The sequence below is a fragment of the Homo sapiens genome, chromosome 6 (genome assembly GCF_000001405.40).
Source record: "Homo sapiens chromosome 6, GRCh38.p14 Primary Assembly".
Classification (NCBI taxonomy): Eukaryota; Metazoa; Chordata; class Mammalia; order Primates; family Hominidae; genus Homo; species Homo sapiens.
The window spans coordinates 43933097-43949740 of NC_000006.12; the positions used below are offsets into that span (position 1 = coordinate 43933097).

The 16644-nt window shown below is 50.4% G+C and overlaps 1 long non-coding RNA gene across 1 annotated transcript in view, besides 1 other annotated feature; it reads left to right on the forward strand.

Moving 5' to 3' along the window:
• LINC01512 (long intergenic non-protein coding RNA 1512) overlaps positions 1-5111 on the forward strand; it is a 47180-nt gene extending 42069 nt beyond the window's left edge. The window contains exon 2 of the long non-coding RNA NR_024478.1: positions 3268-5111. This is a non-coding gene — a long non-coding RNA (long intergenic non-protein coding RNA 1512). The remainder of the gene's footprint in view (positions 1-3267) is intronic.
• Positions 10880-11405: an enhancer, noted in NCBI's record as "H3K4me1 hESC enhancer chr6:43911713-43912238 (GRCh37/hg19 assembly coordinates)". NCBI's record gives its function as "activates a minimal SCP1, AML or CMV promoter by ChIP-STARR-seq in primed H9 embryonic stem cells {active_cell/tissue: H9 hESC(primed)}" and the evidence as "EXISTENCE:reporter gene assay evidence [ECO:0000049][PMID:30033119]".

A 16644-nucleotide genomic window follows, 5' to 3' on the forward strand; every position in this document is an offset into this window, starting at 1 on the left:
GTTCCATGGCCACCCTTGGGTCTGAAGCCTGTCTCCTCCCCAGTACAGGCATGTGGGTGCCCTGGCCACCCACAGCAGGACTGTAGCCTTGGATAGACAGAAGTCCAGGAGTCAAGAGGCTGGGTTTGACCCCAAGGACAGCTGGCTCCTGTGGGGAGACCTTCTCTGGCCCCCAGAAGGAGTCAGCTCAGCCTTAGCCAGGGAAGTGGCCCAAGGGCAGGCCCAGGCCTTGGGTCCCCTGATGTCTGCAGCTGCTCCCAGGACCACCCCATGAGATAGAGGCTACTGAGCCCCGAAGAGACCTGTGGGGCCGCGGCGGGGTGGTATTTTCTCAGCACGATTTATGTGAATGTGCGTGTGTGTGAGTGAGTGTTTAACAAGGAGTGGGGCCTGCTCGACTTCTGAGCCTGGAATTTATACAGCCCCTCGTTGGCGGCTGCAGTTTATCTTGAGCAAAAGAATAATAAACTCAGTTGACAGAATGATGTATTCAAAGCATCTTCCCGTCACAGCACACAGCCCTGCCCGCTGTTAGGATGTCTGCTGTGGTGGGGACCGTGTTATCGAGTGTTTAGCCCCCACGATTGTCAACAACGCATTGTTTGCAGGCTTGGGGCAAGGCAGAGATGGGCCGGGGCTGGGGTGAGAATGGAGAGGGGGGTCTGGCCACACGGACGAAAGGACTGCTGCCCAGATGGGGTCAAAGAGGCGTCTGCCTTTGATGGAAGCCCAGGCTCCATCTGAGGCCCAGCCCCCTCTGGCTGTCCTGAGTCTTCCTTTCCCTGCCTGGGAGAAAATCCTCTCTGTTCACCTCCAAGCTGGTCCTAGTCTAGTACCAGAGGTAAAGGCACACACCTGGGTGTCACTGCACTCCACAGTATGGGAAAACCTCCCCTACTCTTCATTTCTCGTGTTTTTCTTAGCCAAGCAAAGAAATTAGCATCAAACTTCAGCGTCAAAAAATATGCAGACTTGCTAAGCCTCGGAAAGGGTGAGGGAAAGCTGACAACCTAAGAGCTTCATGAGAGAGCTCTAGCCCAGTTCCTTGTGCCTCTGCTGGGCAACCTTAGGCCTCAGAACCTTTTTTCCTCCCCATGTAGGAGGGGAGTCACAATGCTTATCTATCTATTTGATAAGCTACACTGTTGCCACACATTAAGGGTTTGTTATAAGGATGAAATAAGATGAGGATCAGGCAAACACTCTAAAAACTTGGAAGCTGGAGATAAATTCAAATTATAATTTTTTTTTTCAAAGCTCCCTTCAACTTCAGGCAGGAGTGCCCTGGCTTTGCCTCAGCCACTGTGCTTCTTCCTCAGCCTTCAGAATGGGGAAGTCCTGTCTCTTGTCTAATCTCGAGCTCTCTCATTTCAGTTCTAGTTGTTCCTTTAGAACCCTTCATGCATATGTTCCAGTTCTGATCCTCTCTCAGGATCTCCTCTTTTCTGGCTTAATGGTCCTTCTGGCTCACAGGCTGGGCCCTCCTGCCATCCCAGCTCCAGGATCCTCACTTTCAAGAGGAGCGAGTCGCTTCTAGTCCTGTTCTAGAAAGCAAGGTGGCTCTCCTGGGCCCCACAGACAGAAGCCCCATGAGGCCTGCAGGGGCAGTGGCGGGGACAAGAAGGGAAGGAAAGCCCCATGCACCAAGTACTGACCAAGCAGCTGCTCCATCCCAGGGTCAATTTGGAACCCCATCTAATTCTCTTAATCATCGGTATTATCCCCATTTTACAGATTTGGAAACTGAGACTGGAGAAAATTCAGTCTCTTTCCCTCAGGAAGGTGGCAGAAGGAACTCAAGCCCAGAAGGTGTGGCTGGCTCTTGAGTTAAACGTGACCCCTATTCTTAAAGGAAAGCAGGAAAAAAACCCACCCTGAGGCTGTGGGGCTCTGGGTCAGACAGCTGGGCAGGTGGGGTCAAGGCCACTGGAAGAACCAAGGGGAGTCAGGGATGTGGGAGGGCGTGGGAGTGAGGAGGGGTGTGGTGGGAGCAAAGGCCTGGAGGCTGGACCAGGCCCCAGGGCAGAAATTTGGAGAGGAGCTCAGATCTGAGCACAACACATGCGTGTCAGTGTGTTGGGCAACATGGGCTGCGTAAGGCAGCCAACGGTCTCCTTTGATCCCAGACAGGACTCAGCCATTTATTTATTCACTCACTCTTTCACTTGTTCACCCTTCACTCCATCCTTTATTTGCCCAGGGAGTCAGGCCCCTCGGAGTCTAATGGGAAAGACAGGCCTAACATCAGGTCAGGGCCCCTGTGGTTCCCAATCACCCATCCATCCATCCATCCATCCATCCATCCATCCATCCGTCCATCCCCCACGTATTGAGTGCATCCTGAGCTCTAGAGAGGAGAGAGCCTGTCCTCATCTCTAGGTACTCTTGGTCCACTGAGGGGAACAGAGAAGTAAACAGACATCTGTAAACCACATGCTTCTGTGTTCATTGAGGCAACCACTATTTGAGAGCCCTCCATGAAAGGTGTCAGGACCAGGGAGATGAAGAGGGCACACTCCTGCCTGTGGTGCACTCAGGCTGGTTGAGGACACGAAGAAAGAGTACGAATACTCCAGCTTCAATGCACAGACAGCTGTGAAAACTGGTGAGCAAGAAGCAGAAGGGGAGCATTGACAGTCCCCAGAGGGAAATGATCGTGCCTTTGAATTTTCATTTATTCATTCGTTGATTCCACCATTCATCTGCTACTGAGCATCTTCTGTATGCTGGGCATTGCTGGGAACAGCATGAGGGCCCATGGGGGAGGCAGTGTTTCTGATGGGCAGACCACTCTTTTGGCCCCTTTTGTGGAGACAGGCCAAGCTTGAGGTAGAGACTGCAGTTGTGGGGGACAGGCAGCCACAGATCCTTCCCATTTGAACGGGGCAGTGGTTAGCAGCTGGAGGGCATTTGAGGTGCAGCCTGGGGCAAGTAGAGGAAAGCCAGACCCTTTGGGAGGCTTCCCAGGGCCAGACCACACGAGGCAGGCAGAAGGAGGTCCACAAGGGCAAGGGAGGCGCCAGAATGGGAGGGCTGTGTCTCAGATATAGTAGGAAGACCCAAGTTCAGTCCACAGACAAACTTGAGGGATCCTAGTGTCCCACTCATTAGAACAGGGAGCCTCATTGTCAGGACTTTCTGGAGCCTTGATTTGCACATGTCCTCCCCACCCTGGGGTAGATGTGTGTGCCTATTTGCATAAAGCATGTTCCTACCCAAATTCATCTCAGGCATTGTGACTTATATCTTTGCTTTCTCTCCTCACAGCTGGCTGTCCCCATGCCTTCTGCTCCCGCTTCTGGAAGGGAAGACAGGGCAGGGACCATGTCCAGCTGCAGAAAATCCCAGTGTTTTTCTGTGGCATTGCCTGGTAAAGGCTGAACGTGGCTTTCGTGAGAGCTAATCTGCCTGCCCAACCAGATTGTGCTGTGGCTAAAATTGCTGTGAGCTCGACAGTGCCTGAAGACTGGAGAAAACTGAGCCATGTCTTGGATGCTCTTGCGGGGCCTAGGGGAGTGCCAGGCCAGAAGGAGAACTGCCTGTGGACTCTCAGTAGGAAAGCAGCTAACGAGGTGATGAGTGAGTGTCGCCTGGAAGTCTGGGGGCCATTCCATGTGGGTCACATCGCCTGACCAGAGGGTTGGGTGCCTGGACAGGGCTGAGCTTGGGACTCCTTCCAGGGCCTGGCCTCAGCTGCTGGGCCTGCCGAGCATGCCCCACAAGCACCCACGCACACATACAAGTATGGAGGCAGAGTGGAAGTTTGACTTTTGCAGATCTCGTACAGCCTGGAGTAGAGAAGAGAATTGGGAACTCTCAATGTTGTGTGACCCTAGGCAAGTCCCTTCCCTGCCTTGTGCCTCAGTTTCCCTTTACATACCATGAGGATGTTCCCAGTGTTGGTGTTTTAATGCCTGCAGACAAGCTAAGCTCATCATCTGGTTCCCGGAAGAGATCCTCCTTTTGTGGAAAGGCCACAGCCACTCTGCCACCCTGAGGCTCCCACTCCTCCTTCTCTGGAACCCTCTCCCTTGCCTGTAGGTCACGGGAATGTCAAGAGCACCCAGGGAAGTGCCTGCTGCCAGTCATCACTCACTGATTATGTGACAGCAGAGGAGCCAAGAAGCTGCTGGGAATCGAGACACCCCCCCATTCAGTCCCCACCATCTCTGTCTTCATGAGGTTCCCTGGGAGAAGCTCCTATGTCTGGGAATGGAAATGTCTCCACCTGGATAGGGACAAACAGGAGCTGGGGGCTGCATCTTAAGACTTCTTGTCCCATTAGTGCTGACCTCTGGAGACGGCTCCTGAATTGTGCCCACTCCCCCACCTCCTCACCACACACATGCTCTGGGCCGTGCGAGGCTCAGCTTGTCACGGACAAGCTAAAATGAGGTGGCCTGAATGCCCCTTATCATAGACAGCTTATCTCCTGTGGTCACTCACCTGACAGACTCCAGAGAGCCACTCAGCGGGCCTCTCCCAGCCGCCTGCTTCTCAGCTCTGACTCTCCCTTGCCTTAAGGGGACACTGGATTCCAGTGACCCTCCTATTGGTCAGAGTTGGGCTGAGCACAGAGAAGGGGTAGAATGCTCCTGGGAACTCGGAAAGCTCTGGGATGCCAGCTTTTCCCACATGTTCTCACTCACCCCTCTGTAATACAGATTCTGCAGCCCTGCCCCCCACACACACACTCCTACACCTCTGCTCTCAAAGTGAAGAAGTAGGCTAATATCTGTGGTACATTTATTTACCTACTCCCTGAGACTGCAGCTCCCTTAGTCAGTGTTGTGTCCTCCACTCAGGCTGGGGCTCCCTGAGGATGGGGCTGTGTCTCCCCTCAGACTGGGGTTCCCCAAGGACAGGGCTGTGTCTCTCCTTAGGCTGGGGTCCCTGAGGGTGGGGCTGTGTCTCCCTGCAGATTGGGGCTCCCTGAGGATGGGGCTGTGTCTCCCTGAAGACTGGGGCTCCCTGAGGACAGGGCTGTGTCTCCCCTCAGGCTGGGGCTCCTTGAGGATGGGACACTTTAAAGAAGAGAAATTGACAGGTTGACCCTGGGGGATCTTTGGGTCAATAAAACATTCTATAGACCCTCAGTGGTCAGACTAGGATGATACCTTGATGATAGGTGGTTTTTTTGTTTGCTTGTGTGTGTGTGGTTTTGTTTTGTTGTTGTTTTGTCGTGTTTTGTTTTGCTGCTGTAGGTTTTTTAAAATCTGGAGGTTTGGTTGTTCATGAAGATAGGATGAAAAAGAAAGGAAAAAAGGAGGAAGGGAGATAAAGAAGGATGGAAGGAAGGAAGAGAGTGAGTGAGGGTTGGAAGAAGCAAAAGAAAGAAGAGAAAGGGAAAGACACAGAAAGAACGGTGAGAGAGAAAGCTCACAATCTGTTTTTCTTTTACATCTCCTGCAGGGGAGTTTACTTGTTTTAAATCCTCTTATCTCCAACACTTGTTTCTCCACTGGTTGCCGTGTCTGTGGAGCGAGGCTGGTTTTTCTCTCAGCGACAACAGAATGCCAGGCTCCATAGCCGGCCTGGGCGCAGGAGGAGGAAGGGTTCACACTGACGGCCCCGGGGGCCTCTCCAGGCCCTTTCCCATCCATCCTCTCCTCAGTGGCAGCTCTCACCTGGCCCTAGACCCTCATGACCCAGAACAGGGGACATGGCTGTCCAGCTTGTGTGGTAGGCTCTGGCCAGCTCGGTCTCCTTCCAGCCTTCCTCTCCCCAAGACCCCTCTCCTCAAGAGCCTGCCCGAAGCCCTGGTGGACGTGGGCCCAGCCAGAGGCCTCCCTGCCTTCACCTCAGCTCCCGCCACTTCCCCTCCTGTGTGGGGGCCTCCCCTGGGGCCACCTCTTCCCAGAGCTTCTCTTGATGCCCTGCTCCCCCGACTCCCTTGTTCATGCGTCCATCCTTTCAACACATATTTTCGTGTCCCTGAGACGTGCCAGGCCTAAGACATAAAGGGCCTAGGGACCTCAGTGTCCAGTGGAGGAAACCAGATGTCGACAGTCAATTAAGCCCCTTTCAGGCGAGTTTCAACTTACCCTGGTCTAACAATAATATCTAACACTGACTGCAGGGGTTATGATGTACCAGGCACCATTCTAAGTGTTTCACGTGGAGTAACTTATTTCATTCTCCAAACAGCTCTAGCAGGTAGGGCTGTTACCCTCCCGCCTCGCAGAGGGTGGCACCTGGGCATGGAGCCGTTCATAACTTCTGAGGGTCAGACCTGAATACAAACCCAGATGGTCTGGGCCAGGGGCTGAACTCTTAAACCCAGTGCTGCTCACCTCATAGCCTAGCGACTGGGGTGTTTCTCTACGCCCCCTCAGGCCCACCCCCTGCCCCTTGCCCCACCAGAGGGCCCCGGACAGTCTTGCTGCACACCAGCTCCCTGCCCGGGCGGAGCTGGCCATCTTGGAGAGAAGTGACTTGGATTCCCGCCCTGCCTATCCCAGCGCTCTTGAGCGTGGCCTGATGCCTGTGGCCCCTCTCTCTATGGAGACTGGGCATCTCCCAGGCCAGACTGGCAGCCTCTGGCAGGCAGGGCCCGAAACCTCCTCAGCATTGGGCACTGAATGGGTCCAGCACCCGACTCCTGGAGCTGGCAGCTCCCAGACCAGGAGGGGAAGTGGGCGCTGGGGGTTGGCAGGCGGCCAACGCTAGGGGAGGCCTGAGCAGGGTTATGCCTGTAATAACCATGAACCAGGAGGGAGCTGCCAACCCCCAAGGCCTCCCCTGCCCCCTCTGAGGAAATTTTTCTTCAGTCAAGCAAATATCCTGCTGGTCAGTCTCAAGCCTCAGTTTCCTCAAGGCCCAGAGAGGCTAGTAAGAAACAGCCCTCATCTCAGGGATTGTTTGGGGATTTGACCCTGATGGGCCTTGGAAGCTCAAGTTATGCCCCTCCCTAGGGGTCCTAAGCACGGCTCAGAAGTGATGGGAGATGTCTAAGATCTGAGACATAGGAAGGCAGGAAGAAGCTGAATATATAGAAAGAAAGTAATTAGGGACAAATATGGTGCATTTGCACACTCAGTGTATGTTGAGCACCTATGGTGTGCCTGGCACTGTGCTGGCCCTGGGTGTACAATGTCAGGCATAGCACGGCCCCAGCCTTCCAAGAGCTCCCAAAGCTGGTTGTAGCCCATATGTCCCAAAATCCAAGTGGGGAAGGGGAAGCTGGGGTGGAATGACATGTTCCCAGGTCAGCTCAGGTCACAGCAGAGGCAGGGCCAGATGACGAGGCCTGTGTCCCAGGCCTTAGGCCCCTGATGCCCTCATCTCCTGGCCCAGAGCACCAGGACCACAGCATCTAGTCCCTATCCAAGTCTGAATAATAACCACAGATGTGAGAGCCAGCCCTGAAGTTAACCAGGGAGGGAGGCACCTCTCGGGAGACAGTTCAGGTCTGACGTTTATGTCTGAGGCTGACAGGTCTGACCTGTGCCTTTCTGACTCTACTCAGCAAGAGCAAGCATTGGTGAGATGAGTGCTCCTCGGGCACCAGTTCTGGTCTTCATTGTGTTGGGACCACGATTCAGGGTCTTACGGGGACAGGGGATGGAGGGAGCTTCACCATGGAGGCTCCTCACACCTCATGAGCCTCCCCTATCGGCCTCAAAGCCCTTCTGTGGCAGGTAGGAAAGGGAGAAACTTCCGGAGCCGATGCCAAAGCTGATGGTCTCCCCTGTCCCGGGGCCAAACAGCCTGAAGAGGAAGAGACAGAGCTGGGAAAAGGTGGGACCAGCTAGGGTGAGACCTTCTCAGACCAAGATCATCCTGTCTCTCTGGTTGCCAAGATCTAACAGGCCACCCCTGAGCCCAGGGCTCCCTCTCAGGCCTGCAGCCCTGCCCCTGGAGTGTGTGTGGATGTAGGTGCTTATATGCATGAACATCTGCCTGCCCATTCACCCCTCCGTGTGTGTGTGTATGTGTGTGTGTGTGTGTGTGTGTGTGTGTGTGTGTTTGTGCATATGCCTGTGTAGGTTTGTGAATGTGGAGGCCCAGGAACTTGAGGACTTGGCCTCCTTTTCCTTCCAAAACCACAAAGCTTCTGGCCGGCCCCAAGCCTTGGTTTCCTCAAGGCCCAGAGAAGCGGATGAGAAACAGACCCAACTAAGCTGCCTGTGGGCACGGGTGGCCCAAGCGTGGGAACCCGTTGGCCTGAGGGCCCTTCTCCTGGGATCTGGATGGCCTGGCACCAGCCAAGGGCCTCTCTGGGCCTTTCCTGTCATGGATGCAGGAAGGGATTCATGAGGCCAGAGCTGCCAGGCTGACCCCAAGATGATGAAGGTGAGCCCCTCAGCTGGGAATGCTGCCCACTCGACCTTGCCATTGCTGTGCCTCTGGAGGGAGGCCAGAGCCACTGAGTTTCCCTCAGTGGATGAAAAAGCCAAGTGGTTGAGAGGAACTGCACCCCACTCCTCTCCACAAAGGAGTCAGACTCCCTGACCCATGCAGCTTAGAGGGTGCACTGGAGTGAAGGAGGCAAAGGGGTTTGTGCTCTCTTCACAGCTTCTACCCGTTTCTGAGTCACATCCATAGATCTCCTGCATCATAGTCAGCTGTGATGGTGGTGGTGGTAGTTGGGGTTATAAAGAACACAGATGCCTGGGATTGCCCCTCACCCTCCCTGCTAGAAAGCCCGACTGAGCTGGCCTGGGGTGAGTTAGGAAATCTGCATTTTAAACAAGGGCTTCAGGTGACTTAGAGAGACACAAGCATAGCAAAGTACAATGTTTTAAGGAGATCCGATTTGGGAGACCGGGGTTTTAATCTCTGCTCAACTTTTTCCCATTCTTAAAATGAGGTTAATAATAGGACTTCGTAGAGATAATGTCACAACATAGATGCTCAATGCATGGTAGAAACAATAACAGCAATGATAATGACAGCAGCTGGCCATTACCAAGCAGTGTCTGTGCCAAGCCTCTCTGTCATTATAGGACTCACATCCAGGAGGCCAGGCTGGGGTACTGAGTGCAGGGCCCCAGCTCTGCTGTCTCCTCCCTTGTAAATGGCAGACAGGAAGTTCCCCTCCTCTTGTTATGGCCCCACAGCTGTCCTTATTCAATTAAATCAGGAGTCCCAGAAGCCCTTGCTCTCATGGGAGATGCAGCGCAGAGCCCCTAGGAGCCAGACCTGGTTTTCTCCGGGCTAATTGGCTAATCATCTGCCGCCTTGATAGCTGGAGGTCTAGACATGACTGGTCCTGGGCCTGGGCCCTCACCCTGCCCATCTCCCTCGCCTGGCTGGCCCCAAGCCTTGCCAGCTCAGAGCCAGGAAGGATTAACATGCAGGCTGGATTTGCTCACCTCATTCCTTATCGAGACCCTGTCCTCTGACACAGGAGGGCAGATGTTTTCTTTCTGCAGACAAAGAACCCTGGGAGCTCTGGACCGGAGGAGGGAGGGAGGTAGATGGCAGCAAGAGGAGAGAGGCAGCCAGGCTCTCCCTCTATCCTCACCTGCCTAGTCTCATCCATCCTCCTTCCCCAGGAATGTAGCCATGGACTCAAACCATTTCAGCTCACCCTAGAGCCCCCTGTGAGAGTGGGCCCACAAATAGCCATGTTTTACAGACAGGAAACTTCAGTGAGGGCTGGTGGCTGACCCAACCAGCAAGTGAGATGGAGCCAGGCCTCAAACACATGTCTCCATACACCATTTACACCTCATCTCTCACCAGTGGGGTGAAGGCAGAGAAAGAGCTTCCGGAGGGTCCTGGGCAGGGGTCCCACTGGCAGAGGAGTCAGAGAGCACAGGCTGCATTAGGTCCCACAGGGAAGAAGAGGCAAGGAGGGGGACACAGGTGAGAAAGAGCTGGGCCTACTCAGGGAGTTGACGCTGATGAGGAGGGATGGTTTGGGCCACAGAGGACGTCAGAGACATCAGCACTAGGCCACAGAGGCCTCAGGAAAGATGAGAAAAGTGAAGACTCAGCCCAGAGAAGAGAAGGTCAAATCTCTTTGTGAATTAAATGTTATTATATTTCCAGTCTTGTGAGGTCAGTATTATTATTCCTATTCTACAGGTGAGAACACCAAAGCCTATAATATCTCTGGAACTTGCCCAAGTACATGCAGCTAGCAATGGGCAGAGCAGCGATCAGCCTGCCCCACACCCAGTCTATCCACCCCTACCCCCAAACTGCTGCATGCAGGAGTCAGCTAGGAATCCCGACTCACCCCAACCCCACCAGCCCTCACCTTCCACACTGCCCATGCCCATGCCAGGAGCTGTTCAACCCCACCCCCTCCAGGAAGCCTCTTGACCAGCCCACCCTAGTTGCCTCTGTCAGACTCCCAGACCAGGCCTTGGGTGTGCCAATATGCAGGCTTCTGGGTCCTAGTCTACTTGAGTAGCTGCATGGGCTCTAGGCTCACACAGCCCTAGCTTTGAAATCTAGCTCTCAGTTATGCGTGTTGGATCATCTGTGCCTCAGTTTCCTCATCTGTAAAATGGGACTAATAATGGCACTTACTTCAAAGTACAGTAAAGATTTAAAGAGATACCACAGGTGCAGGATTCACCCAGCGAGGAGTAAAGTGAGGTTCGGAAAAGGTGTGTGCCTTCCCCAGCATCACAGAGTGTACTAGCAGCAGTTAGAACTGGTACTTTCTAGCTGAGAGATGAGGAAAGAGGCCCACATTAGAGGCTGCTCCAGATCTCCAGACCAGTGGTCCAGTGCTCCTACTCCTTAGTCATGAAATCACCAGGTCTTCATGGTTGTGAGTGCTCAGAGCCAGGCCCTGGGAAGGCCGGAGAGTGACAGCTTCCAGACCAGAGACTCTGCTGCCCACTCTTCCAGCCCTCATGCTCCCTCTGGGGCTGCCTCTGCCTCACCCTGGTGGTCTGTCTGGGGTGTGGGGCTGTTTGCAACAGGCGCCTATTGTCTGATGGCCTGAGTGCACCTGTAGTGTGCCTCGTCCCAGCCTGGTGAGTCAGCTTTTGGCAGGCCATGGGGCAGCCACTCCACATCATCTTAAGCCTGAAAGAGGACCTTTCTTTTCGTTTTTCTCCTCCTTCCTCTCTCTGCTCTCCATGAAGTGGTCATCTCCGCAGGGCAGCAGGGAATATCATTCTCTGCCAGGATTTCTTGAGTCTGCTTGGCCAGGAGACAGGGTGGGGCCTAGGAAACAAAGAGAGGGCGGCCTAGGTCTGGCCAAAGCCCTTGGGCTACTTTAGGGCAATGCTTGTGGCCTCAGGCTCCCCACTGTCAGTGGGGGTACATAAATCAGAACAAGTACAGCAACACTTTACTTATCGAGAGCCCATATACTTGACAACCTCTACCATCTGGACTCAGAACTGAGATCAAAAAACTATTGAGCAGACTAAGGGTACACCTGACAATTGTCTGACAAGTGTCTGACAAATAAATGTTAGAGCTTCACTCATCAATTTTTCCCCTACCTAAATCAGAGCCTATCTACTTCAACCTTACACAGTATTCTAGCAGGCTTGGTTATATAATCCGCATATGTACTAAAAGAATAAAAGGCTGTTAAGGTTATTCGTATTGACAGCAACAAGGCTGACAGCAAACAGGTGGCAAAGACACAATGATAAAAAGTAGATCTGAGAACTAAAAAATTAAAGCAATCTCAAGTTATTTGGGGTAGAAGCAAAGCAGATGACATACCCCAGTTCTTAGGGGAATCACTGTTTCACTTCCAGAAGGGGATATTTATAATGGGGTCCTGAGTCTTCAATGGAAAATGGAATTATGGGCAATTTCTGTTTAAGAAGGTTTGAAAGTATATGATGTATTTTTAATAGGACTTTCAAAGAACATGATTTTGTTTTTCTGTATGTTTTTGACATTTAAAGAATTAAGCACATTAAGAGTTAATAATGGCAGACTAAGTGATTTAGACCAATGCTCCCACTGAGGACAACTAGAACAGCTGAACAAAATATTCTAAAAGTCCACTTGAAGGCATCAGAGAACTAATTGCTGGGCCATGACTAAGACCTAGAGAGGTATGAGTGGCATTTAAGGCCATTTCCCTCCTGAGGGTGTGTGCTCTTTTAGGGGGGGTCAGTTGGGAGTCCAAGACGCTGAACAACTCTTTTGACAGCATTGTGGGACTAAGAGGACATGGATTGAAGTTCCCAGCTTGCCAATGGATTGAAGTTCCCAGCTTGCCAAGAGGTGGAACTTAATGAACTTCCTCTCTTTAAGCAGGGACCCCAAAAGGGCTACACCCTAGGAGTTATGGGTGAACCACTCACTCAATCCTCAAAACTGAAGTAGGAGATCCTGTATTATTACTGTCCTAGGCACCTGGCTGACACGAATGTGAATCCTTTCTGAAGGAAGATAACCTCATTCTAGGCTTCATTTTATTTTTACAAATGATGGTATAAATACAGTGTCCAACACATAATCAAAAATAACCATATACATAAGAAGTCAGATAACACACTATTAAAAACATCAGAAATAATAGACAACAGAAACAGACCCATAGAGGCCACATGTTTTAGAGTAATCAGCAAAGATTTAAAGAAACTATGCTTACTAGGTTCAAGGAGATTGTTGTGGTTACTATTGCTGCATAACAAATTACCCCCCAGAACTTAATGGTGTAAACAACAATTTTGTTTACTCATAATTTGCTGGGTCAGAAATTGAGGAAGGACTTGACTGGGCAGTTCTCACTCACAGTCTCTCATGCAGTTGCTGTCAGATATCAGCTAGGGCTAGATATCCAAGAGAGCTTCCTTATGTGTCTGGCAGTTGGTGCCAGTTGTTGGTTATGAGCTCAGCTAATGTTGTTAACCAGAGCACCTATACGTGACCTCTTTCACATAGCAGCCTCAGGGTAGTTGGATGCCTTACATGGCAGCTGGCTTCTCCCAGAGTGAGTATCCCAAAAGAGCCAGGCAGAAGATGCATGACTTTTTCTGACCTAGCCTCAGAAGTCACACAACATCATTTCTTCCGAGTTCTGTTAGGCACAGGAAGTGACTAAAGCTTCAAGGGGAATAAATTCAAGGGGAGGGATAAGAGGCCCTCCTACCTCTCAATAGGAGTACTGAAAAATTTGCAGCCAAATTTTAAAACTTCCACAGAGGTAAAAGAATTAAGCTTCTATAGTTAAGAAAATTCCAGTAGATTGGTGATCTCTTCTGAACAATGAGATGGTCTATACTCTATCCCAATGAACTGCCTATCAGCCTTCTGCCCCAGGAAGATCTCACAAGCCTGGCTGAGCCAGGTCACATAAACATCTTCACAACACAATGCTTTGCTGCTAGAGGTGGTCAAAATGCAGGTGGCACCCCAGCTCCACATCCACATTCACAATGACTCCCCAACCCTCACCCACCCTCGCCCCTCCTGAAGTCTGTTTTCCCCACAGAAGTGGCAAGGAATCTCCTCAGAAAGCCCAAGAAAGCATGAAATGGCAGAATTAGAAATGATTTCGGGTGGCATATATCTGTCCTTGGGCTTCCCAAACCTGGCTGATCCTTAGTACACTTGCTAAGATGGGAGATTCTCCAACTGGGAGAAGACATTTGCCACTTAAAAACCTGGCAGCGATTAATATGTAAAATAGTCAAGCTCAAGGTTGAGCACTGGAGCCAGAAGAGAGAGAGAGAGAGAGAGAAAGAAAATAGTCAAGGAACTCCTGTTAATCATCAAGAAAAAGACAGGAAACTCAATAGAAAAAAAAAATGGGCAAAAAATATGAATAGGCACATCCTAAAAGAGGGAGTGCAGTGGCTGATGAAGAGATATGCTAATTCACTAGTCATCAGAGAGATGCATGCTTCAAACAATAATATAGCTTCACGCCTAAGTGAATGGCACAAATTAGAAAGGTGGATCATGCTCAGTATAGGGAGATGGGACTCTTGTGTCCTATAGGCGAGAGGATAAACTAGTACAGCCATTCTGAGAGCAATCTGTCTGTATCTAGTGAAACTAAATATGTGTATGGCCTGCATCCCAGAATCTCACAAATGGGTCTATAGCAGGGGAGAATGATCATGCAGGAATGAAAGAGGACTTGTACATGGTGCTTGTGGCAGCAAAATTTGGGGTAGTAGGAAGTCGGAGGCAACATAAATGTTCATCCCTGGAGGAGTAGATAAGTAAGGTGGGTGGCTTCTTTCCAAGTGGCAGTTAGAAACAGGCCAGATGTACAGACATAGATCTTAATAGCAATGTTGAATGAAAAAAGTGAGAAACAGAAGGAGAATTACAGCATAGTACCATTTATATAAATTATAAAACATGCAGAAAACACCACCACCCGGCATACAAAGAAGATGCATATTTAAAGACCTATATCAAACACATAGAATGAAGGTCTAGGTCTGGTCGGAAGGCGGGAAGAATGAGAGTGGAAATGTAGGTGAAGGAGAAAAAATACAATGAAAAGTAACATTTCAAGGGGGCTTTGAATAGACTACTGTTAGGATGCTGGGAATCAATGAGTATAATTGAATCAATTATCTATATCTGAGGTAAAAATAAATAAGTAAAGCAGATTTCTAGACTTTAACTACAGGGATTCAGTTTCAATAAGCCTGTAGTGAGCCCAAGAATATGGGCCCTGGTGATTGTCAATGCTCACTCCAACATCCTAGATAGATGATCACAGTGGCTACCTGAAAACACCTGGTGATGGGAGCCCATTCCTGTACTAGTGGGCTGTTCCAATTCTTGATAGGACTTCCTAAGGCCAAGATTTACCTCTCTGTACCTTCCAAACCATTGATCCAAGTTCTGTTCTTCAGAACAAATAAAATAATCAGGTTCCTCCTGCTTCTGCATGCCAGTCCTTTAGTAAACCAGAGAGAGTCAGCATATTCCTCTCCCATCCCACAGGCACAGGCATCTTGTCCAAACTCGATAGCTCTCCATTCCTCCAGCATCTCCAAGCCCACCAAGGTTCTCTCCTCTACCCTGCTCCCACCCCAGCCAAGCTGTTCCCCTAGGTCTGTTCTAACTGCCAATGTTTCTCCTCAAACATGGCTCCTCAGAGAGACCCCACACTCCGAGTACAGCCTGACCAGCTCAGAGCATAGCAGAACATATACCTCCTGTCAGGGCCCTGTGTTCCTGTGGGTATAACCTCACATTACAGTCAGTTTGGTGTTTTTTGTTTGTTTGTTTGTTTTTGTTTTTAATTAGCGCTCAGTGAGTTTATGGTGGGCCAGACTTACAGGTCTTTTTCACTAGAATTGATACAAGGGCTGCTTTATCCATTTACACACACACACACACACACACACACACAAATATATATATGGCACAAAAAAATACACAAAAGATATACATACAGTACAAAGCAAGACCCCAGCCAGCCACTTTTCAGATACACTTTTCTTGTGTATCTGTCTGCAGATGATCTGTACATATACAAACGGAGACACACATTCCTAATCATACAAAGAGCTGCATAGTCTACACTATCAGTGTGCACTGTCGGGCACCTTGCTTTTTCACTTAACCAGGTATCTTGGGGAATTTTCCTTATCCGTACATAATTCCTTGGCTCATTCTCTGTATCAGGCCCATAGCCTTCCATTGTGTGGATCTACCTAAAGTATTCAACCAATCCCCTACTGGTGGACATTTTGGTTGTTTCTAGGCCTTTGCAGCATTTAAGGCCATGTTGCCAGGACTCCTTTTGCACATAAGTCAGCATTTCTGTAGGATCAATCCCCATGTGCCTTTTGACTTGATTTTTTTCTCTCCCTAGAGCTGGACTTGTCACTTATGCCTACTGTTGATCTCTCTTGTTGGTTTTACCCATTGTTCCAGGCACTGTCAGGCTAATTTTGAATCCTCATTGTGCTGCCAAGCCTGCTCCTCTCAGCTGTGGGTCATCTGCAAACAGAGGGAGGGGAGCTTCTCAGGTCTCCATTCAAGCAATTGATAAAAATGTTGAGGGGGATGGGGCCAAGGACAAGGGCCGTGAAACAAGCCCTAGAGAATTCCAGGTGTCCATTCATCATTTGTCACCATGGTTGAGTCCCTGCTGTTAGCATGGGAGCTGGCCTCACTAGCATATCCTAACAGGCCTATATTACCCTCTTGGCCAAAACTCAGCATTCTCACCTCCAGCAGTCCAGCATCCCAGTGAGAAAGAGCTGAGGCTGGTTAGCACGGCATTGTTTGCTTCCAGTAGAACCAGCTGGAGGGTCTGGAGAGGAAATCCCTGGAATTTGTGGTCAACAGAGCTGGGGGCCTGTCCTGCCCAGTTCTAGCGATGTGGTTTGGGGCAAATTACTTAACCTCCAAATGCCTCAGGTTCCTCACTTGCCAACTATGGTAACAAAACCCATCTCTCCATGTTTTAAGAATATATGAAATTACATGTAAGCAGAAGGGTTCTACTATTTATCTGTCTGTCCATCTGTCTTCTTTATCTATGAATTCACATAATAATCAACTCTCAAGTATTCACTGGGAATTGACTTCAAGCTCAGAAGTCTGTCATTTCCTAAATAGAGTCTTCACACTTTTATACATTAGAACATGCTCAGCCCAGCTTTGGCTTTCTGCCTTCCGTCTGTAGCTGAGGTTTCTGTGCTTATGAGCAGGAGGTCTTTCAGCACTGGAAATGAAAGTCCCTCTAGCCCCAGACTTGGCCCCATGAAGGGGGCTTGCTCAATCCTA